General features: G+C 39.4%; 1 protein-coding gene across 6 annotated transcripts in view; it reads right to left on the bottom strand.

The window, feature by feature from the left end:
- Window positions 1–25,398, bottom strand: part of ANTXR1 (ANTXR cell adhesion molecule 1) — a 236,184-nt gene that overhangs the window by 168,860 nt on the left and 41,926 nt on the right. For all 6 annotated transcript variants that reach the window (NM_053034.2, NM_018153.3, XM_017005077.3 and 3 more), the window contains exons 4-8: window positions 9,740–9,821; window positions 8,681–8,714; window positions 7,367–7,446; window positions 4,810–4,878; window positions 2,980–3,060 (exon numbers count right to left, since the gene is read on the bottom strand). In NM_053034.2, the coding sequence (NP_444262.1) occupies window positions 2,980–3,060; window positions 4,810–4,878; window positions 7,367–7,446; window positions 8,681–8,714; window positions 9,740–9,821 (346 nt within the window). The remainder of the gene's footprint in view (window positions 1–2,979; window positions 3,061–4,809; window positions 4,879–7,366; window positions 7,447–8,680; window positions 8,715–9,739; window positions 9,822–25,398) is intronic.

Below are 25,398 nucleotides of genomic sequence, written 5' to 3'. Positions count from 1 at the left end.
TGAAGAATTTGAGCTTATCAGAAGCTGCTCTGCAATCTTATTTTGGATAATTAAGCCCAGTCCTATTTTATTATGAGAAAATAACCAGCCACAAAACAACATTCATGGGAACAAGCTGGGATAGAGGCTTCAGATGGGGGGGAAATTGAGAGTTTTCTTTTCAGTATCCAAAAGGGGAAATGAATCTACTTCTTAAAAATAGTTAGCCAACTTTTAGGCCGTAATTATTTCTGTCTGATTTAAGAAAGATGAGCTCGCTCTACTTGTCCCTGTTTCTCTGTCCAAGCAAACGAATGAACAACTGCCATAAACATGGGTTTCGAGTACTGGAAGGATCAAAACCACTAGCATAACTCACAGATAAAAGCTCACAGGAATGTTATCATTCAGCTAAAAGTTTGGAGACTAAAGTCTCAAATTAGTTTTCTTTCTATTTTGAACGATAGTTTCGCTAAAATTTCTTAAAGATCTTTGCAGTTATTTCCATTTGGGGATGGAGGAAGTTTTACAAACATTTGGGCTCATGTTGAGCTTGGGTGAGTTGCTAAGGCTGATGTATTCAAGGACAACACTGATTTATGCATACAAAAAGAGTCCAATCATCTATGTGGGAAACAACACTTGGAGTTAGGCACACGGCTCATAAGAACGTCTGAACAGATAAGAGTTGTCCCTTTTCAGAATCTAGCCATCTTAAGGCAGGACTATTGCCTCCTAATTGGCCTACAGTCTCTGGGTATCCCCAGTCTCCCTCCCACGTATGCAAGCACTGCCATCAGATTATTTTCTTAACTTGTTTCAGTAACTACACCCACTGCCTATAGGTTAGAGGCAAAACCCCTTCGAGGCTCATGTTAATCTGGTTTCAACCCAATGTCTAGGCTTATTTTCCATTACTCCTGACTCCTTTACCCAAACTGTCCCACTAGATAGATAGGTATTATTATTATTATTGACCCCTGAGTATGCTTTTCTGTCTTCCAGCCTCTAGGTTGAGGTCATAATATCTCTCCTTTGGTGGTACCCATCACCTTTCCCTGGTTTTTCAATGATTCGGGTCTGCGCTGCCTTCTCATGAGGACTCCTGCCCAGAATAATCCACCTCTGAGCTTCTTAAGGATCCATGATCGGCCCCCAGTCCTGCTATTAATCATGTTTTGCATCCCTTGGGTTGTTGTTTTACATGGTTATTGTAGTTCTTGTTGCTTACACTGTCAAGTATGCCACAGTGACCCCAGAAATAATTTAGAGTAGGAGTCCTTCACCTGTGGACTGACAACTGGGTCTGATAATTCTCTATGCTATCAATAATTTCCACTTTCTGGTTAAGGTAGCTTGAGGAGGCATATATTCTTTGCAAACAAGCACTTCTTGAATAAAACAACTGTCATTGGAACATAATTAAGACAGAAATTCCCAACCTGAGGTGGGATGAATTTTTGCAATTCTGTATTCTTAAGGTCAGATATGTCAATGTTCTAAAAGCATACCTGGGGCACTTAAAAAAAAAAGCAGATTTGAAATATATGGATCCCTTGGATCCATCTGAAACTCAATGCAATAGAATCTCTTGGGAATAGGTATTACAAACATAATTCTCAAGTGATTTTTATGCATATTCAAGAATGTTTAGGGGATCAAAGGAAGCTGACATTAATATCCGTCATATGATAGGGAAGAGAAGTGGAAGAGGCAATAATTCATATGCCTTGAGTGCCTATTGTATGTCTGGAAAAGTATTAGGCATTTTCACCAGTAATCCTTGTAATCCTCAAACAAGCCTATGATGTAAGTCATCATCAGTCCCTGTTTCCAAACAAGAAATGTCCAAGGATCTCTAAGTGTTAAGTACGTGGGCCAATGAAACTCTGGGTTGCCGGGCTCTGAGCTTCTTACTTCCCACTCTGCATTCCACTCTGCTGGAGCTCCTAGCAAACCCTGAAGGGAGAGCAGCATGGAGGCACAGCCATGCTGGAATTTTCCTGGGTTGGTCTGGGAGGGCTGGCAGATGCTGAGCCCTTGGCCGGTAACCCCTGGATCAAGACCCCCTTGATGTCTTAAGAGGAAAGTGATCCCCTGAGCTCTGAATTTGCATCCTGGACCCCAAGTCTGTAGCCTGGTAAGCTGCCAGTGAAGATCACAGATGCCTGCCTGATCACAAAACCTAATGGTGGAGGCTGCAGAGCATCTGAACATCATTGCAGGTGCAGCACACATACTGACCTGCTGGCTGAGGCTTTAAGACAGTAGCATCCAATATTCTATTTGGACCAAGGGCCTTGCCTGTGTATGGGAGGTGGAGAATAGAGGCCCTGGAAGCCAGTGTCCTGTTTACTATTCAGGAAAAGGTGTGAAGAAAATCACCTATGTGTGAAGGAGGACTGGTGACCGTGCAAACCCTGGACAACACTGGAGCCCATGTATTTGGGGATTATAGGTCGAAAGCAGTGGGTCTCAACATTAAAATCACCTGGGGAGAGTTAAAGAAACTCTTGAGGTCCAGGCTGCACCCCAGACCAGATGCCTAGGCAGCAGTGCTTTTTAAATCTCTGCAGATGACTTCAATGGACAGCCTGGTCTAAAGTGCATCCAATGGCCAAGTGATATAAGTCCAAGCCTACAAGTGCTCTGAAGGCAGCTTGTGTTCAGTCACAATGGGAAAGCTGAGGTGGTCAAGCGTAAACCACCAGCCACAGTCTGCCCAGTTAGGAGAACGGAGAGGGCCTCCTGAAGCCTGGCTCACTGCCAGAGTAGCGCCCCTTTCAATTGTTAATTTTCCACTGCAGGGTACAATTGAGAAAAGATGTGTAAAAGGCAGAAGGGAGAGATGGGACGTGGCAGACACAAAGATATAGGAAGAAATGATGTTCTCTTAAGCAGAAAAACACCAGGCTTTGAGAGATGGAATTGGGGTATTAATAGCAGATCAGAGACGGAAGGTGCCTGAATGTCTAGTCTCAGAGGAAGAGCTCTACTTACTGAGTGGATGATGCCTTGCAGAGCCTGAAAGCCGTCATTCACGGGAAACACATGATCCTTACTGTCCGCAATCCGGGCCAGCTGAGAACACAGCAAATACACAAACACATGGGGAGACTGTTAGGCTTGGATGTGGAAAATTTAGGAAAGCCGTTGGGGCTAAGGGGCTCTAGTTATATTCAGAACCCAGGGGAATATGAGGCCTTCACTGGGCTCAGGGGCTGCCCTGAAAAGCCATCAGTAATAACAAGCTCACCAGTGGCCTCTCTGGAGCAGGCCAAGGGTTGGCTCCAGCTTTTACATTTGTTTCAATACTTTTCTCCTCGGGAGCAGAGGTAAGAGCGCCCAGCTTGATGAACGCTTGGCCTGGGTTGATATGTTTATAAATTTGGGCACAGGCCATGGGCTCATTTTTCTCCCCTTCACCCAAATTCCTGTTGGCAACTTTATCTGAATCAAGCAGATTCAAGTTCCCTTTCAGAGCAAATTTAAATTCAAGCTTTGGTGTTGGGTGAGGCCACCTTCACCTTTCACCCAAACTGCCCATTAAGGAAAGGGCCCTTGCAGTTGGTTTGGCTGCTCCTGCTTTATGTAGCAGGAAACTGAGGGCCAGGAGAAGCCGATGTAGGGCTTGTCTGCCCCCAGATCTCTGTGTGGTTCTGTGACTGCCACAGAGTCAGTGTCAGCTGTTGTGTATGGCTTCTAAAAAAATATGTTTTATTGTTTTTACTGATTGCAAAAGTAATACTTACTCATTGTAAAAACTTAGGAAAATCCAGGAGAGTTAAAACAAAAAGAAAACAAACGTTACTCATAATCCTCTCTGTTCATCTATCATCTATCTATCTTTATTAGCCATTTGATAGACACTGTTCATACTTTTTCTATGTGAACATACAAATGTCTATTTTAGAAGTGAGCACATACTATTCTCACTGCTTTGTAATTTTGTTTTATTCACTTAATGATATATCATGAGCATTTTCCTATGCCATTAAAACAAAAAGAAACGATGAACTACATTGAGGTACATGTATTTAGATTGCTAGTAAGCTTTTACAACTTGCTTATTATATGCACCTATACACATTTTTTTGCCCACTTGTCCAATTATTTCCATATTTTTGTGTTGAAAATACTTTGCGTTTTTCATGGGTGAAAAGGAACATTTGTTATTTGAATAAGAAAATCATACTTGTCAAATTAAATTTGGCCCGGGTGTGGTGGCTCATGCCTATAATCTCAACACTTTAGGAGGCCATGTTGGGAGGATCACTTGAGCCCAGGAGTTAGAGACCAGCCTGGGCAATACAGTGAGGCTTTATCTTTACAAAAATTTAAAAAAAAGTAGCCAAGTGTGATGGTGTGTGTCTGTAGTCCCAGCTATTCAGGATGTGCACCTGTATACCAAGCTAATCAGGAGGCTGAGGCGGGAGGATCACTTAAGCCTGGGAGGCAGACGCTGCAGTGGGCTGAGACAGCTCACTGTACCCCAGCCTGGGTGACAGAGTGAGACTCTGTCTCAAAACACAAACAAACAGAAAAAACCCGTTTTCCAAGTTAATTCAGATATCTTTTGACATCCTGGCAATTTAATGTTTGCCAAGAAAGATGCTGCCTTGATGGTCTGTGTTGAAGACCTCAAGAGCATCAGCAAATGACTTCATATTCCTTACACAACCAGTAATTCCTTCCTGTTTAGCATTTCTAGAAAAATAACCTATTTCAGGGGCATTTATTCCATTGATCTTCCCTCTGCACTGACTGAACATGTTCTTCATGATTCACAAGCTCAGTATGCTCCAAACCTGAGGAAATCCATTACCATACCTGTGTCTCATTGAAATCTTTCACACCAACACAGTAAACAATTGCACCAAGATCTCGAGACCTATTAGCCTGGGAAAAGGAAAGAAAGGACATTAGAAAGAGAAGCAGTGACAAATGAACTCCTCTTGGAGCTACCTGACTAACTTCAATGATGAGGTATTTAATGAGCACCTACCATGTGCCTGGTGCCATACTGGAGAAGGCAATCCCTGTCCCCAGGAAGCTCAGACTTCAGTGGACATCACATTCTAACATAACACATGGTGGACTTGAAAAGACACACTGAAGTAGAGTCTTGATGAAGGGCTTAAAGATGAGGGGAGGAAGGGAAAACTGCAGACTAAGTTAAATATTCTGGGGAAATGATTACCTTTTCCATTCCTTTGATGGATTTTTACTGACATACGTTTCTTTGTAATGGGGGCGTGATATCACAAAAGAATGGGGCCTTTGGAACTTGATATAGTTGAGTTTGACCCCTGGCTTTACTCTGTATTGTGTTTTGGGGATTAAATGAGAACATTTACAGAGCTCCTCACACAAGGCTAGAACCACGTAGATACTCATAAACGTCAGCATATTTTGTGAATAAAGCCCTTTCATTCCTACAGAATAAAGTGGTTTAATGGTATGGAAATTGTGGTCCATATTTGAATAGGTAAATCCATGATCTCTACAATTAAGCATTGGGATGGCAACATAATGAATAATACCCAGATTTTGGCTCAACTTCAATATTTGATTTATTAAAGTCTCTGATAATCTGATTTCCAGATTCTCCTGTGTTTCAGAATGGAAAAAAAATTGAAAATCCTTGGCACTTACAGTGGGTGCTTAATAACTGATAGCAAACATAGAGCGAGTGCTCAATATATGCATATTGATTTTGATTGTGTTATTTTTTCCCTTTCTTAGTACTCAAATCCATTTCTGTTTAACACTGAATTCTAGAAAGGACAAAAACTTATGTCTTTTTTTCCTTCATGTTAGAAATTTCCCTGCTGCTTTTAGGATAAAATAAACTTTTAGACTCACTGTAGCCTCAACTTTATTTGCAACAACTCTGTGATTCTTCTCCTCCAGTTGGACTTTATATAGAATTGTCAAGAAGGGAAAAGTTCAATTTCTTTATATCTTGAGCTTTATCTTTCTTTTTCAGAAGGTCTCCTTCTACTGGCACTCTGAATATTTTCCCAAGTTTGTATGTGCCATACCTAAAATTCCTTCCCACTAATCCCTATCTTAAGCCTCTGACACCCCATCATTTATTTTAGTTTCAATTCTTTCCTTATTAGGGTTTTTACTTTATTTGACTGTTATTTGGCACCCAATCAAGCCATCTTGCATTCCCATCACATAGTGAGTTTCTACTTTCAAATATAGAGATGTATTATTTTCCAAATGCTCAGGGAGTGTCTGTCATATTACCTTGTGTATTTCCTCATTAGAGTTACTTTTTGTACTAGTGGGAGGAGAGTTTACCTACATAATTTCTCTAAGTCCTCTGCCAGTGTAGGCTTCAAAGGGCTGACCATTATTTCATGGTGACTCACGAGGGCAGCAGCTGTATCTCACTCACCTCTGTGCCTCTAGTTTCTAGCAAATGGTCAAGTATATGCCAAGCTCTCAGTTAACACTGAATGAATAAATGAATGAATATATATTTTGTGTTTGTGGAAAGAGCTGAATTTAAAGTAAATAGTTGTTAAGAGCTTGAGGAAAGTGTGATGCTACCATTAACTCCTCTTCTAGAGCCTGCATCTCTGGGATGTTGTTTCTTTCTACCTTGGGCCTGAATGAACCTTTGTCACTAATAAGGCTATAGTTTCAGTACATTTCTATGGTTAACTTGTTTCCTTTTATACTAATTATGCATATAGCTCAAATGTGAAACTTGAAAGAAAAGAATTTCGTAAGTATAAACATTAGTTTTCAATTCATCAGCAAACTTATTTTTCTAAGTCTATTTATACAAGGTAAAATCTTCATTGAGAGAATTTTTCCACTTGCCTTGAGGAATAATTTTTGAGAACACAAAGAAAAAGAAAAAAAGGAACTATTAAAAGAGAGATGACAATTTAACTTTGCTACCAACTGCTGTTTAACTTTGGTTCTTAGAGTGAAAATCTCAGTGATTGATACATTCTGACAAGACTGGCTCTTACATATTTCAAGTAATTCTTTCCCTTCCTCCTGTTTTAGTAGAAAATATAAGGAAAAATTATATCAATGTTTATTTGTTTACAAGTGATATACAGTATTTAAAAACTGTTAGAGCAATATAATGCCATCAATAAAGGCAGGGTAGAATTTTTAATCCTTCAAAGCAGAGTAATATGTAAAAATTTTGAAAGGGGAAAACATTTACCATGTGTAAAACATGAAAATTCACTTGTAGAACACGAATTATTATTATTATTTCTACTTATGAAACTCTATTTCATTCAGGGGATTTGCAAAGAACACCTATCACATGAATAGAGAGAGTGTGGCCCATTTTAGAAAGGAGAAGCCCCGTTCCATGTATATGTTTAGACACAGCCAGGCCGTTGCTTACCTCCCTCTCTGAATAGAAAAAGAGATCTTCATGGAGTTCTCCATCAGTCAAAGCAATGATGACGCTGGCTGTCCTGTACCCTGTTTAACACAATACAGACTGGCTCAGTCCACCCTGCTCCACCCAAGGAAACACCCTCTCAGTCCCAGGATTCAACCTCTTACGAGTTCAACCACCCAAAGTCAATATTGTGAGAATCACCAACTTTTCTTTTGGGCCTGGAAGCAACTCCAGCATGAAGAAGGATCCCCCATGGGGACAGACTTTAGGGGGAATAGGTTTTGCTTTCTCATTTTTCAGCCTCATCTTGAAAAATGGCCAAACCTGATGAAATGGTCACTAAACCAACATTTGGGAGTAGCACCGGTGAATCAAGTGTGATTATTTTCTATTAGCAGACACATAACTGTTGCCCAAGCTGTGAGCAAACTCCCACCTGGGCTGTTCAGACGTCCTTGTCACCTGCTGTAATGGACCACATACACCACCCCTTGAAGACAGTTTGGTGAAAGTAATAGTCATCATGATTTACAAGTTGACTGGAAGAATTATAGCAGTTGGCAAAACCTACTAGAATTATTTCAGTGATTTTTAGGCTTCTCATATCAACATTCACGGTTGATTTACATTAGCAAGATTTGGTGTTGATATTGAGTCTGTTCTGTTTGTTGCAGTTTAGGATGAAACAAGAAATGGACACCTCTATAGGCCTGGGAGGAAAGTCTCTACTGTAATATTGAATCTCTTTTTTAAGAGATTTGACTGAGATACAGAAATGCTACTCACGAAAGACACTGTAGTAATAATAGCTAAAATAATAAAAATTTCTATGTGCTAGGCACTCTACTGAGTATATTTTATGCAGTTTTTTCATTTAAATATAGGAAAGTTTAAATCAAACTGGTATTTTGATCTTAATGTTATGTTCAGTCACAGTAATGAAGAGGCTTGGAGCTCAGAGAAGAACAACAAAATTAAATTTTACATAAAAATCCAAGACTTTACTAACCTATGCAAGTATTTACTAATTTAGTGAATTCAACATGCAAAACTCTTCATGGGAATTAGACTGTGGCCAAAATGGGATCTTAATTACTTTTATATAACTTTTCTTGGCATCAACAGGACAGTGGAATTTGACCCAATACATGCCACCTTTCTATGCATTCCTTGTTTGTGATGAAATGTGTGTCTAAGAATTACAGATAATATCATACATGTCTTTTGAAACATGAAATGACTGAAGCACTTTTTCAGCAACAAACACGGAAAAAGTTAAATAATTCATAATGGTAGTTCATACTATAGTCTTACCTTGTCTGTTTTCATAATAAATCTGCTCACTGGCCTGAAAAACATATGAAAGAGCCCTTAGACTTATAACCACTGTTTGTCACTCCAAAAACCATAGTGGATAATGGGCTCTGTTGTTGAATATGCAGCCAATTCAGTCTTGATTCCTTATGTAATTCACCCAGGCTTTGCTCAATTATCAGTGGCTGATATCCATGTAAAGTTACCTCTCATTTAAGTAGTATACAGTTATGTGCTGCATAGCAATGTTTTGGTCAAGGACAGACTACAAATATGACAGTGGTCCCCTAAGGTTATAATGGAGCTGAAAAAGTCCAATCACCTAGTGACATCGTAGCTGTGGTAACACTGTAGTTCAATGCATTACCATTTCTATGTTTAGAAACAAATATCATTAGTGTTACAATTGCCTACAATGTATAGTACAGTAACATGCTGTATAGGTTTATAGCCTAGGAGCAATAGGCTACACCATATAGCCTAGGTGTGTAATAGGCTATACTATCTAGGTTTGTGTAAGTACACACTATGATGTCACAATGACAAAATTGGCTAACAAGGCATTTTGTTGAAATCCTTGTTGTTAAGTGATAGATGACTGTAGTTGTCAACATGGATTGATGTCTTATTCCTTATGGCCTAGTACTTGTTAAGTGACAGATGACTGTAGTTGTCAGCACGGATTGATGTCTTATTCCTTATGGTCTTGTTTCCCTTAAAGCTGAAGTCCCTGAAATTCTGCCTCAATCACTGAAGCTGACATCCAACAAAGGACATTTTTGGAGTGGCGGGACTTGTGTGTGGCGTGAATTTGTGACTGCCAGCCAACCATTAGCTAACAAACCATTCATCAGGGTCAGGGAAGAAGGAAGGGAATCCATTTCTTTAGTTCTTTTGGCTAGAGTGGTCAGTGTACAAGCTTATGGGAAGAAAATGTACTCTCTTGCTATTGGGTGCTAGTCAGCCCTCTTAATATAAGTGCCTTATCTCATCAGTCACCCCATGTTGATATTTCAATATCATGCTTTATATTTGGATTTCAAACTGTTTTAAAATTACCCTTTCAAATCCTTCATGCATGTAAGTGTCTCCTCCTGGCAGAACTTTCTGGAGTTCTTCTAGGCCTTGACGGATTTGTTCTCTGAAATCCAAAGACACTCTGTTAGTCTTATTTGAGTATTTTTTACTTTGCTGTTGTAGTCATAAGTACTAGTCTTCTTCTTACCTCTGTGGATACTGCTGTCTAGTCCCAGTAATTCCCCAAAAGCCTATCAAAGGGAAGGCCTTTATATTATCCGTTCAGGGTCAACCATAACACAGGATGAGTGAGATTTCAAGGATTAAGGGGAAAGACTCTTCTGCAGGACTCTCCATCTGCTTGTAAACACTTTCCTTTCCCTTAACACAATGTTTTCCTTCTACATTGGAAATGAGTCTCTAAATGCTGCTCCTGATGGGACACACAGCAACTTAGGCAGCAATACAAATGGCTCATGTGAGCCAGAAAGAGGTGAGAACCAAGAACCCAGGGAAAGGCCACCACAAGGACGCAGGTGGAAGAGGGTGGCATCCACAGCAAACTGCCACCGCACGGGTGTGCCAAAGGAAACGGAAAATAAAAACCCAAGGAATCTCCGCTTTCCAGGACAGCCAAGAGTGTTTTCTGTGGGCCGGTGCCTGTGTTTTCTTACTCTGATTGTTCAAGGTGACAGTGCGGGCAGGAAGAGTTCAACTGGCAGTGGGAAACATAAATGACTTGGGGGCCAAATGGAATCTTTGTGGACCATTCTCTCTGGGATGTAAGAAGTCTACATTCATGTTTCTGTCTTTTAAATAGCTCCATATTGTGCCAAAAAGGGCAATAAAGTAAAATTTCTGACTCACATACCTTATTCATAAACTGTAACCCTATGAAGGGTTTGAAATTTTGCCTTCCTCCTGCTGGGGTCTTTTTAGTGGTACAGGGTGGAGATGCTCTATTTAAATTGGGAAGAGAAACTCTTTTGGATAGGAAAAAATCTAACATTTATTGAGCATCCGCTATATACAAGGTAGTGACCAAAGATTTCTGATTTCACCCTCATAATAACCACTGAAAGTGAGTATTACTGTCCTTACATTACAGGTAAGAAAACTTGGGCTCAGAGAGGTTAAGTAGGAGAGTGGAGACTTGAAGTCAAATCTACCTGACTCAAAAAAGGCTTTCTCCTCTGCAAAGCAGCCTCTAGCATGGAACAATGCTAGAGGAAGTGGGAACCTGGCATCAGTGAAAGGCAATGGCAGTTCCTAACACTGTCTGGGAACCTATGGCTCTGAGAACTTATGGTGCCAGGCTCTGTCTAAATACATGAAATACAATCGATCCACTTAAGCCTTATGACAGCTCTTTGCAGTAGTACTATTGTTACCGCCATTTCACAGATAAGAAAACTGAGTCACAGAGAGGTTACAGAACTTACCCAAGGCCACTCTTACCTAAGACAGAGGTGGGATTTAATCCCAGAGGCCCTGTTCTTAATCAGTATGATAAATACTCTCTTTTTCTCTCATATTTATCCTGGCATTGCTTGGAGGGGGAATTCTAAAGAAAATAGTAATCTTTTGTTAAAACTGATATGATGGGGAGACCGTGGGTGAGGGTGGCTTGCCAGACTGCTGGAGATTTTAAAAGACAAACTGAAAAGGGGTTTGCCTGTCCCTGGGCTGCTGATGCTTCATAGGTGGAATATTTAATACCAAGTAACTCAGACTTTGGAAACTGACTATTCTCTTTTCAATACCCGTGTATCAGACCACATGCCCAGCCGCCCAAGTCAGAAACTGGAAGCCCTCCTTGATCCACTAACTTGACTTTCCTTCCTCTCACCATCATCACATTCTGTTAGTTCTACTTCAAACATATCTTGAAATGGACTACTTCTCTATCTCTTCAGCCAACACCACTGTCCCAGCCACCATCATCTCTTGCTTAGCCACTGGGGTAGTCACCTGCTATCTTTTGAATGGCCTCTTGCCCCCTTTTCCATTCTTTCTCCATAAGGCTGCAAGAATGTCTTTAAAGTACAGATGAAATCATGGCATTCACTCTGGCTCAAAGCCCTTCAACACCAACCCATTACACCTGGGATTATATCCCAAATCCTTTTCATGACCTTCCAGTGCCTATGTAGATGGCTCTTGCCTCCCTGTCCAGCCTCATCTCACATCATTCTGCCCCCACTCTCTTGCCTTCAGCCATACTGGTCTTCCCAAGCCCCTTTCTCCAATAGGCACTTCACATCGGCAATCACTGCTGCCCGGGAACACTATTTGACCAGCTCTTCATGGGGCTAATTCTTATCCAGCCTTCAGTCCCAAGTTAAATGCCACTTGCTCAGAGTAGTCTTACTTGACCTTCCTAATCTGAATTGTCTTCCTCTATTAGACTTTTTCCTGGTACCCCACAATTTTGCTTTATAGCACTTAAGATATTTTATAACTAATAACATTTCATTATGCAATTATTTAGGTTTTGTTTGTTTCAGTTCTAGACTTTAAATTCCTTGAGGACTGGGCCATGGCTGTTTTGGTCCCCATTATATCTTCTGTGCCTACTACAGTGCCTGGAACATAATAGACTTTCAACAAATACTTACTGAAGGGGTGAGTGGAGGGAATGGATGTCTCCACTGTTACTCATTCTGGGAAGAAACCATTTTGGGGCAGGGATGAGCTTCCCTTGGCCATATGGAAGGAGGCCAAGCAGGACCTGATCTGGACATTAGCCAGATCTGGTCATTGACAAGTCTGGGCCCATGTGGTGGTTAAAAATCATTCTCTAGGTTGTATTTCTTATATTACCTCTAATATTCCAATAAATCCCATCAAAAGGCATACTTTAATTTCAAACTCTGTTGTTTGGTAATGAGAAAGGGCATATATCCTGGAGAATAAAGATGAGAGCAGTGTCCCCCACCAAGGCCATGCTGGGGGCAGTGCATGGCACCAGCAATCCCCAGGCAGGGGGCAGCTCTGCCCTGTGAGTTGCCAGTTTCATGAGGGTCCGAGCAGCAGAGCTAGTGGCAAGGGGACATGACGGGGAGGCTGGGATAGGAAAACTGGGGTCTGTTTGTGAGCACACAGAGGTGGCACCATGGAACCCCTCATAATAGCTGGGGGGCACTATGGGGCAGAGGGATAATTTCTGACAGTTAGGTGAGAGACGCTTGGGCATTAAAAGTAAATATGATCTAATTCTTTGGTCACAGACTAGTGAAGTCTGGGACATTTGGGTAACACTAAAAGTGGAATATTGTGTTAAGACTTGAGATTTAAAAAGAGAGCAAAAAAAAAAAAAAAAAAAGGCTTCTTGGGGGTGTGGAAATATTTGCTTGGCTTCACTGTATTTTTTCCCTGCCAAATAAAGTCTGGGAACTGGGATATTTTCTCTAAGCCTATTTCCCTTTCTTTACAAGTATTTTCTTGACTTTTTTTTTTTTTTTGTACCAGAACAACCAAAGGCTGTTTTGGAAAATGTCCTTATCCTTGATGCTTTGTATCTGGCAAGATATGAACTCACTAGTTGCGAGTGGTGATCACAACCTCCCCATTATACCACCCTTGCTGCTCAAAAGATCAAATAACACATGGCCCCATCTCCCTACTCTCTGCCCTTCTTGAAGGACCCACAACATCTAAGCAAACAAAATGGATGGTTTCATAGGAATTGTGGGTGTGTTTTAGTTCTGGGACAACAGCACTATTAATAAGGGTCTATTCTTATTTTCTCTTGGAAACTGAAGGAGATTGGGAGAAAGATCTTTTAGGGGATGATAAGAACCTCTCTGAGGACTTGGTTATTTCAAGTGAAATGTTATCTTCCTGGGAAATGAAAGAGGCAGGGAATCCTATGAAGAGAGGCTGCTATTACAGAGCCCCTGTTTTCCTTGGTGGTTTCACATGTCTGCCAGTGTTCCTACTTAGAAGCTAAGGGTTTTAGGCCATTTGTTTTGTGTTCCTTTTGCAACTCCCACTACACTTAATGATTGACCTCAAGCAGGTGATTGTCAAATGAATGATTCCAGTTTGGGTGCATTCACCCATCATTCATTAATGGCCACTGCTATTTGTTGAGCATACACCATGCACCCAGCACTCTGCTGGTTTGTAGGGGTAGAAGGTGGGGAGAATCAGTCACAATGTCTTCTGGGCTTTCTGTTGTTCTAGGAATTGCTCTACTCTTCATGATTACTCTCTGGGATTCTGGTTGTGTTATGACAGTTTGATAACATTGCTGATGAAAACATTAAAAGATGAACACGTAAGAAAAAAATTAAATTAAAAAAAATAGCTGGGCATGGTGGTGTATGCCTGTAATCCCATCTACTAGGGAGGATGAGGCAGGAGAATCGCTTAAACCCAGGAGGCAGAGGTTGAGTGAGCCAAGATCATGCCATTGCACTCCAGCTTGGGGAACAAGAGCAAAACTCCGTCTCTAAAAAAATAAATAAAAGAAAGAAAAAAAAATAAAAGATGGACACACATAGAATGTCAAGAAGTGCTTCAACAAGCCTTTATCCCAAGTATTCTACTGAGGTTTCCACTGCAAAATCTCCCTTAGGATTCTGCAATGGCTATCATATTTTGGTTCTATAAAAACAACCTCCATCACCATCCAAAAATAACCCAATATCAGCTCTGCATTGTCAACTTCCTAGTCTTCTTGTAAAAGAGCTTATCATCTCTGGTACTCTTCCTTCTTCTTCTTTATTCTGAATTTGTTTTTGTGGATCTAGTTTACACCTGGTATCATTTTCCTTCTGTGGAATTGGACTCTTCTCAAATGCTTTGCAGTTGTTGCCTTTGGTTCTCAACTTACACAGTAAACACCTATCACTATTTATTACCACTAATGCCACTCCTGGAACATTCCCAGATGGCCTTATGGCTCCAATTGTTGACTATAAGAAAACAGTGTAGTGAACAGAAGAACACAGATTAATTAAAGACATTTTGCTGTTATTTTAGGAGTTATGAAGTTCTACAACCAATTGTAATCATTTGTTTACAATGTATATAAAACAGTCTCTTTGGGACTTTTACCTAAGCATAGGCCAAAATGATTAACATAATATCAAGATGCATGCTGAACCAAAGCTCCTCTTGTGTACTTTTTAGTGAAATACAATTTATACACAGTAACATGCCCAGATATTTGTTCATTTCCCTTATAATTGTTGAATATATTTCTATAAAATTGTTTATAATATTCCTTTATTATATTTTAACATTTGTAGGATCTGTAGTAATATTCCCTTTCCTGATATTATCTGTAAGTCGTATTTTCTCTCCTTTTAGAAAAATCACTTTTTTTTTTTTTTTTTTGAGACGGAGTCTTGCTTTGTCACCCAGGCTGGAGTGCAGTGGCACAATCTCAGCTCACTGCAACCTCTGCCTCCCAGGTTCACGTAGTTCTCCTGCCTCAGCCTCCTGAGTAGCTGGGACTACAGGTGCGTGCCACCACACCTGGCTAATTTTTTGTATTTTTAGTAGAGATGGGCTTTCACCATGTTAGCCAGGATGGTCTCGATCTCCTGACCTTGTGATCCGCCCGCCTCGGCCTCCCAAAGTGCTGGGATTACAGGCGTGAGCCACTGCTCCCAGCCCAGAAAAACCACTCTTACCAGTGGTTTATCAATTTATTCTTTTAAAATACTCAACTTTGAGCTTTGTGATTTTCTGTATTATTTGTCTTCTTCTATTATATGTCTATTTTCAATTTTATTGATTCACTTGTTATTATTTTCCTTTCCCTACTTATTTTGAGCTTAATAAGTTCTTTTTACTTTTTCATTGGTTTTAAATCATTTAATCTTTTCTTCTTTTCTAAGAAAAACACTTAAAGCTATACATTTACCCTAGGCACGTGACTTTAGCTGCATCCCACAAATGTTGATATGCTGGGTTTTCGTTCTTTGTTGGATACATTTTCTAATTTCCCTTGTGATTTTTCTTTAACCCATGGATTGTCTTTGACACACAGACTTTCTTCGATAACTTTTTATCTCTAGTAAATACTTTTTATGTTGAAGTCAGCTTTGTCTAATATCCATTCTAACTTTTTATGATTGATGCTTGCACAGTATATCTTTTTCCATTCTTTCACTTTTAATCTATCACCATATTTATATTTAAAGTGTCTCTTGTAAACCATATATAATTGTATGTGGTGGACTGTTATACTAATGTCCCCAAAGATCACTCCTCCCACTGTATGGTCCCTGTATGGTCCCCTCCCATACTGGCTGTGCATGTGGCCATGTAACTTGCTTTAGCCCACAGGACATCTGTAAATATGACAAAAACTAAGGCTCCATTAGCACAAGAATATTGGAGTTTGTTTTGTTGGACTGTTGCAGCCACTGTGAGGGAAAACCTGGTCTTTTCAACTACTTGAGAAGGAAGGACCATATTGAGAGAGAGATCTTCAGCTGTTCCAGAAGCATTGTATTTCCCAGCTGAGCCTAATCCCCAGCTGAATCCTATATATAAGCTGCATAAATAAGTCCAGGTGAAATCAGCATAAGAAATTATTGTTTCAAGCTATAATATTTGGGGTATATTTTATGCAGTAATAAATCAATGATATGCTGGATCTTGCTTCTTTAGCCAGTGTGACATTCTCTGCCTTTTATCTGGAATCTTTAGTTCATTTTATATTTAATGTAAGTCTTGGAGTGGTTGGGTTTGAGTCTACCATCTTGCTATCTTGCTATTTGCTTTCTAATGGTCACTTCTGTTCTTTGTTTCTTTCTCCTTTCCTATATCCTTTTGCATTGATCATGTATTTTTTGGTATTTCATCTAGTATCATCTATTAGCTTTTAAAAACATAAAGCTGTATGTCTTGTCTTTTTTAGAGCAGTTGCTCTGCGAATTATAATATGCATCCTTATTTTATCACAAGCTACTATAAGTCAGTATTATGCTACTTCTCACAAAATAGAAAAACCTTTTAATATTATATTTCCATATAGTTCCCTCTTATCCTTTGTGTTATTATTGTCATACATTTTATTTCTCTGTTTGTAACAAATCCAAAAATAGTGTTATTTCTGTCTTAGTCAATTGTCTTTTTACAAAATTATGAAAAGATAAAAAATAACCTTTTATATTTACCTAAATATTTATCATTTCTGGTACTCTTCCTTCTTCTTCTTTATTTTAAATTTGTTTTTTGTGGATCTAGTTTATACCTGGTATCATTTTCCTTCACCCTAAAGAATTCCTTTAGCATTTTTTTTAATAGCGCAGATTTGCTGCTGATGATTCTCTTAGGCATTTTCCCCCTTCTGAAAATGTCTAATTCTGCCTTAAATATTTTAACTGGATATAGAATTTTAAGTTGATTTTTTTCTTTTATCTCTTTAAAGATATTGGACCTTCATTCTCTGGATTGCATTTTTTTTTCCTAATAAAAAGTAAGTTATTTTTTTAATGTTGCTTCTCTTTAATATATCTTTCCTGCCTTCCCTCTGGCCGCTTTTTAGATTTTTCAGAAATTTGACTATGATGCACTTAGGTGATGCTTTCTTTGCATTTGTCCTGCTTGAGGTTCTTTGAGCTTCTTGGATCTGTGTGTGGATCACGTTTGGTATTCCAATTACACAAATACATGTTATCAAGTAGTATAGATCACTTGATATTCTCCCATAAGTCACAGGACTGGTTCATTTTCTCCCTCCAGCCCTCAGACTTTTCCCTTTCTGTCTTTCAGTTTGGATATTTCTATTCACTTGTTTTTAAACTTATTAATCCCTTTTCTGTGGTGTTCAATCTGGTTTTAAACCTATCTGATAAATTTTTTATTTCAAATAATGTATCTTTCAGTTCCACAGTTTTCACTTGGTTCTTTCTTTGAGTTTTCTTTTTTTAATTTCTGATCACCCATATCTTCCCCCCCATTGTATTCACCTTTTCCTGTAAATTATTTAACCTATTTATAATAGTTGCTTAAAAGTCCCTGTCCATTAATTCAAATAACTGAGTCATCTGTGGTTTGTTTCTATTAACTATGTTTTTCTTTATTGTGAGTAATATTCCTCTGCTTCTTCCCATTTTTCATAACAGTTTACATTTCAGTCACTGAGTATAAAAAAAGCAGTGGAGACTTCGGTATAATATTGATTTGTGTTGTTTACTCACTGCAGAGCATAAGGCTTTTATTCTTTGTGAGCTAGGGCGAGGGGCTGATCATTAGATTCCTCCTTGAGTCAGGGTGAGCTTGGGCTGGGCTGCACCTTTTGTTAGATTCATGTTCCCTGTTATTAGGCCAACTCCTGGACTTTTGCCCTGCCCTGCCTTTGTGATCTTCTCAGTATTTGAATTGGTAGATGGCTAGGTGCAGCTTCAGATATTTTTGCTTGACCTTTGTATTTCACTCTGGTAGGACTCCAGAATCCAAGCACAATGAGAATCCACCTAATTATGTGATTTATCTCTACTCTGCAGGCAATTCCTCCACTGCTGCTTTCTTGGAAAAATGCAGAAATGTGGGTGAGGGGGGATAACTTAGGCTGAGATATTTCTTTTTCATTTCAGATTCTAAAGCCTCCTTCTGGCACACATGTTTATGTAAGACTCAGCTGACTTTTCCTTATCCCTGCAGAGTGTCTGTCTATGGCAGACCCACTCCTCCAATTACCCAAACCTAGACCACGCATCCACCTTTAAGTATGGAAGCTTCTGCAGAACCTTCTCTGCTTAGCTATTATATAAAGGGTTTGTTTCTCTCTAATTCAGTTAATCAGTGCTTCCTGCATCTCTACTAGCCTCACGGAAACATATGAATTTTATTTTGTCTGGGCTTTTCTGGTTGACCATGGAAATGAAGGCTTTTCACATCTCTGAATATCATAAACAGAAGCAGACATACTTTACAGTTCTTTTCTAAATGTTTGTGACTACACATTTGTCTCAAATCAGAAAGAAAAATACTAGATGCTGATTACCAGCATACAAATACACTCTAGTATCTCTTATCTTAAAAACATTTTTTAAAGTCCTCTTTGATCCCACATCTCCCTCTAGCTACTGACCTATTTATTCACATCTCTCTATATGACACAGCTTCTTGAAACTTGTCTCCTCACTCCTTGTCTTTTCTGGTGGAGTCCTTCTTCAAATGTTTAGTGATCTTTGGCTGTCTGTCCATATCAAATGAATGAGACTAAAAGCCTTGTTGGAAGCTCTGCATGCATGGTGGGCATGCCAATTGATGAATGACCAGCTTTTTTTTTTTTTTTGGCAGTTGTTTTTTGTTGTTGTTGAAGACTCTCAAATATCATTTTATGTGTATGTATTTTTCCCTCTAAGACATTTATTTCTACAGAGAAGTAGTTTTCAAACTCTTTTCTTAGATTTTAAGTCTGAAATTGGACAAGGAAGAAGGCTGGAAGTAGCAACATTTGTTTTGCAGATGTCTCTATAATTTCTCTGTGCCTGGTGTCCCTGACTATGAAACCATTCTTGTGCAATTTTGTCAGAAAATATGCTTCTCCTCTCTGGTGGAGGTAAATAAGGGGTAATTTTCAAACTCTAGTGGGAAGGAGGGATGGTTCTGAAGGTTGAAGAGCTTTTAAACAATCAATATTCCAGTTTTCACTCTCTAACCCTTCCTTGCCTTTTGCAATATCCAGGTTTTGAGCTTTCTAGGATTCTACAAGGCTACATGGTTTGTTCATCTTCAGTATTTCCTTCCACAGGATTATATTTGACTTTTCTCCACAGTGCCATATCATTTGCCACTCTTCCTTCCCTTCTATTCTTATATGTGGTGTTTTTATGGTTTAAATATTTCTCAGTTTCCTCAAAGATGGTCTTTGTGCTTTTGTTTCAAGTTTTCCTGGTTTGGGGTTGGTTTTTTGAAAGAAAGGGGAAAACATCTTAACTTATCAAAATATTTTTATTTATTTTAATTTAAAAATCTCATTTTAAAGTTGGAAGTCCTCATTTTTTAACCCACTCTGCTCTGACTTTTGTCTCCACAACTCTGCCTCTGCTGAAACTGCTTCTAGCAAGGCCCGCTATGTTACCAATCCAATGGTCACCTCTCTGGCTTCATGTTCCTCAACCTCTTTCAGCATAAGACACAGTTGATGTCCTTCATTTAAGCAATGCTCTCTTCTCTGAAAGATTTGAGAGTAGATTTGTGTTTTATGGCATGATTTCCATTACACCATACTCTCTCCTTCTACCTTACCACCTGTTCTTTCTCACATTTCTATGTAAGTTGTTCCATCTCATCTAGAACTCTAAAGATTGGAGTTCCAGCTCCAGAACTCAGTAAGATCACCCATCCTCACATCAGCACTGTTTTACAAGGTCACCTCATTCTTCCATGACTTCAGAGCCAAACTCCATCAAAGAAGCATGAGCTTTGGAGGAAGACAGACTCGGGATGGAAATCTTATTCTACCAAGTGCTAGGTATGTCAGCTAACCTCCCTGAACTTTAGCTTTCTCAAAGTAAAACAAAGGTGTGGAATGCTAAGATCTACCAGATTTCTTCCAGCTTAGAATATTGCATCTGATTTGAACTGGGAACAAAAGAGCAAGCAGAAATAGAACCTGGGTATCTTCTGGGAACTGGAGAGGCCACACTTGGCAGACAGGAATAGTCCATGATGTAACACAGGATCCAGTGCAGAGCCAGAAGGGAAGCTGACAAAGAGGAGCCCATCAAGGAATTTTTAAAGGTTGCAGCATAAGCTGGCATAAAAGACAAGAGGGATGGTTTAATCACAGGACAAGATGAATTTGTCCAAACTCTTCTTTATACAACTCTATTTTCATTGGTCACACATTTGTGCAGTAATTTCACCATGTGGTTTTCTATGGCACCATCTGGCTTTTGAAATAAGCCCTGTTAGACCTTCACATACCTTAAGACTTAGCAATTTAACTCCTGGTTATCTACAGGCATACCTTGGATATATTGTGGGTTCTGTCCCAGACCACCAAGATAAAGTGAATATTGAAATATTGAAGTAAAGTGACTCTCACAACATTTTTGGCCTCCCAGTGCATATAAAAGTTATGCTATACTATATTGCAGTCTATTAAGCATGTAATAGTAGTATGTCTTTAAAAAGTACATACTTCAAATTAGCCGGGCATAGTGGCAGGTGCCTGTAATCCCAGCTACTCAGGACGCTGAGACAGGAGAATCACTTGAACCAGGGAGACGGAGGTTGCAGTGAGCCAAGATCGTGCCATTGCACTCCAGCCTGGGCAACAAGAGCAAAACTCGGTCTCAAAAAAAAAAAAAAGTACACACTTCGATGAAAAATACTTTATTGCTAAAGATTGCTAATGATCATCTGAGCCTTCAGTGAATCATAATCTTTTGCTGGTGGAGGGTTCTGCCTCGATACTGACGGCTGCTGACTGATCAGAGTGATGGTTGCTGAAGGTGGGGTGGCTGTGGCAATTTTTAAAAATAAGACAACAATGAAGTTTGACCCATCAATTCACTCTTCCTTTCACACAAGATTTCTCTGTAGTATGTGATGCTCTTTGATAGCATTTTACCCACCATAGAACTTCTTTCAAAATTGGAGCGAATCCTCTCAAACCTTGTTGCTGCTCTATCAACTAAGTTTATGGAATATTCTAAGTTCCTTGTAATTTCAACAATGTTCATAGCATCTTCACCAGCAGTAGGTTCCATCTCAAGAAACCACTTTCTTTGCTCATCGTTAAGAATCAAGTCCTCATGAGTTCAAGTTTTATCATGAGATTGCAACAATTCAGCCACATCTTCAGGCTCCGCTTCAAATTCTGGTTCTCTTGCTGTTTCCACCACATCTGTGGTTACTTCCTCCACTAAAGTCTTGAACCCCTCAAAGTCAGTTGTGAAAGTTAGAATCAACTTCTTCTAAGTTGCTGTTAATGTCGATATTTTGGCCACTCCTGCATGAATCACAAATGTTCTTAATGGCATCTACAATGGTGAATCCTTTCCCAAAGGTTTTCAATCTACTTTGCCAAGATCCATCAGAGGAATCACTATGTATGGCAGCTATAGACATGCATTTCTTAAATAATAAGACTTGAAAATCTAAATTACTCCCTGATCCATGGGCTACAGAATGGATGTTGTGTTAGCAGGCATGAAAATGACATTAATCTCCTTGTACACCTTTATCAGATCTCTTAGGTGACCAGGTGCATTGCTAATGAGTAGTAATATTTTGAAAAGAATGATTTTTTTTTTTCAAGAAGTAGGTCTCAAGAGTGGGCTTAAAATATTCAGTAAACCATGCAGTAAACAGATGTGCTGTCATCTGGGCTTTGTTGTTTCCTTTAGATAGGACAGACAGAGAAGATTTAGCATCATTCTTAAGGGCCCTAGGATTTTCAGAATGGTAAATGATCATTAGCTTCAACTTAGAGTCACCAGCTACCTTCACTCCTTATAAGAGAGCTAGGCTGTCCTTTGAAGATTTGAAGCCAGGCTTTGACTTCTTTCTATCTATGAAAGTCCTAGATGGCATCTTCTTCCAATAGAAGGCTGTTTCATCTCCACTGAAAATCTGTTGTTTAGTGTAGCCACCTTCACCAACGATCTTAGCTAAATCTTCTGGGTAACTTGCTGCAGCTTCTCAATCAGCACTTGCTACTTTGCCTTTTATGTCATGGAGATGGCGTCTTTCCTTAAACCTCATGAGCCCACATCTGCTAACTCCAAACTTTTTTTCTGCAGCTTCCTCCCCTCTCTCAGCCTTCTAGAAATAGAGTTAGAGCTTTACTTTGCATTAGGCTTTGGCTTAGGGAATGTTGTGGCTGTTTTGATCTTCTATCCAAACCACTAAAATCGGCAATAAGGCTGTTTTGCTTTTTAATCATTTGTGTGTTCACTGGAGTAGCACTTTTTATTTCCTTTAAAAACGTTTCCTTTGCATTCACAACTTAGCTAACAGGCACAAGACGCCTTGCTCTTGGCCTGTCTTGGCTTTTAACCTGCATTCCTCACTAAGCTTAATCATTTCTAGCTTTGAATTTAAAGTGAGGAACTTGCAACTACTCCTTTCACTAGAGCACTTAGAGACCACTGAAGTGTTGTTAACTGACCTAATTTCAATATTGTTGTGTCTCAGGGAATAGGGAAGACCAAGTAGAGGGAGAGGGAAACAGATGGAGGAAGAGCTGGTTGATGGAGCAGTAAGAATACACACATTTGTCAATTAAGTTTGCTGTCTTACATGTGTGTGGTTTGTGGCACCCCAAAACAAGGACAATAGATAGTAACATCAAAGATGACTGATCACAGATCACCATAACAGATATAATAATAATAATGAAGGTTGAAATATTGAGAGAATGACCAAAATGTGACATACAGACATATAATGAGCATATGCTTTTGGAGAAATCGTGCCAACAGACTTGCTCAAATCATGGTTGCCATGAACCTTCAATTTGTAAAAAACACAGTATCTGCAAAGTGCAATAAAGCAAAGTGCATAAAGCAATTCTTGCTTTTGCCCACCCTACCCTCAACAGGAGGCAAGTATAAGTACATTCATTTCCTCTTTGTTTATAATAACAAAAAGTTAGAAACAAATTGTCTATGAATAAGAGAGCAGGTAAGTACAGGTGGTATGTTATTACAATAAAATATGACAAAATAGAAAAGTATGCAGTAGTTAAAATGAGCCAACCAGCTATATGTATCTACACACAAAAAAAATCTCAAAAACATGACATTAAGTATAAAAAGCAAGTTCAAGAAAAATACACACAATATGACCATTTAAAAAATAAAGTTTCGGCTGGTTGTGGTGGCTCATGCCTATAATCCCAGCACTTTGGGAGGCCTAGGTGGCCAGATCACTTGAGGTCAGGAGTTTGAGACCAGCCTGGCCAACATGGTGAAACCCCGTCTCTACTAAAATAAAATAAAAAAATTTAGCTGGGCATGGTGTTGCTCGCCTGTAGTCCCAGCTACTCAGGAGGCTGAGGCATGAGAATTGCTTGAACCCAGGAGGCGGAAGTTGTAGTGAGCCAAGATCGCACACTGCCCTCCAGCCTGGGCAACAGAGCAAAACCCTCTCAAAAATAAATAAAATTTTAAAAAAAGTTTAATATGAATATATATTATAGCTTATGCACATATAAAAGTATGCAATATCCATTGAAATGATAAATCCCTAATTCATGATAATAATTATCTCTGGTGAGGAAAGAGAAATGGTAGGTCTACATAGGAGATGCTGCCTGTAACCTCTTATTCCACAAGCGTGGTTGGTGGGTAATGAGTGTTCATTAACCTTTTTTTTTTCTATACTTTTGTTATACCTCAAATATTTAGTCACTTAAAAAATTGAAGTGAGTAGCAAAGACTGAACCTGGAGTTCATGAGGAGGCATTCGGAGGCTATCAGAATCAGCATTAAATACAAGACTCAACAGGTCACCCACACTGGTGGTAAAGGAGCTGAGTCAGGTGACAGCCACGTGGCTTCAGAGGTAGAAATGTGGATGTTGACCAGTACTGGGATTGTTTTTGTTGGGCAATAAAAAATATGTTGGTTTTGGCTAGCTAGCTTTGGATATGAGAATGCTACTGTTCTTTGGTTCTGTTGACTACTTCTAAAGTTTACCTTGCTGTCTCCATCCAGACAACAGAAATGTTTCTGGGCACTGCTTTGTCAGTTTTTATTCTTAATTTGTATTTGCCACATGAGTAGTAGCAGGTGAAGGGTGGTATCTGTGATGTGCTAGGGTCTCTGTTAGGTGCTTTCCATATGTTAATTCATGAAAGTCTCATAACAACTCCATATGGTGGGCATTACTATCTTCATTTCACATATGAGAAAACAGACTCAGAGAAGTGCAATTACATGCACATGGTGGTGGAGCCCAAATTGGAAACCATAATGGGTCCTGGTCCAAAGTCTGTGTTTTCTCTGTTACATCTGTGGTGCCCAAACTTGGTATGTAACAGTGTACTATATACAAAGACACAGGAGACACATAATGTTTTTTTTCTGGAGCATAAATTGTACTCCAAAATTTGAGAAAGAACAGAATTTTTATGTAACATCACATATAATGGAATTATGTTATGGAATAGAATACACATGCATGCACATTTTTAAGATAAAAGAACTTAAAAGAAGTTCTTGCTTTTAACAAGGCACTTCATACTATACCGTGAGGCCTCAGGGGGTACAATTTTACTTTCTTCTACTAACAAGGGTACTCCAGAGGAAGGGATTGAGAAGCAGTGGACTACACTACTCTCACAAATCAATCTGTTCCCAGACCTGCTAAATTGCTCCATGGTGATTTCTTTTTACCATCATTGTGACCAACATGGAGACCCCTTAAACAAACCTTCTGTAGAGACATTGCCTGTGTCCCCTTATCTGGAAGAAGTCTCCCTACAACTATTACACAAAAGAAACAATAATTTTCATCTGGCCTCATGTTGAGGCAATATTTTCTACCTGCATCCCTCTATATAGGGATAGGCTGGCCAAATGTTAAAACTTCAAGAAGGATGTGGGCCAAGGGGAGCTGGGGACTCACCCTTTGAATCACTGTTGGGCCTACTGTGATGATTTGAGGTGGGATTTGTCCAGGAGGATTTGGGGCCATTCCTTAGCTGTTTATAAAAACCCCTAACAACAACCACAATAGTAACAACAACTAAGGTTAATTGAGCACTTACTATG

The sequence above is a fragment of the Homo sapiens genome, chromosome 2 (genome assembly GCF_000001405.40).
Source record: "Homo sapiens chromosome 2, GRCh38.p14 Primary Assembly".
Classification (NCBI taxonomy): domain Eukaryota; kingdom Metazoa; phylum Chordata; class Mammalia; order Primates; family Hominidae; genus Homo; species Homo sapiens.
Note: the sequence above shows the minus strand (reverse complement) of the source record. Positions and strands in the feature narration are given on the sequence as shown.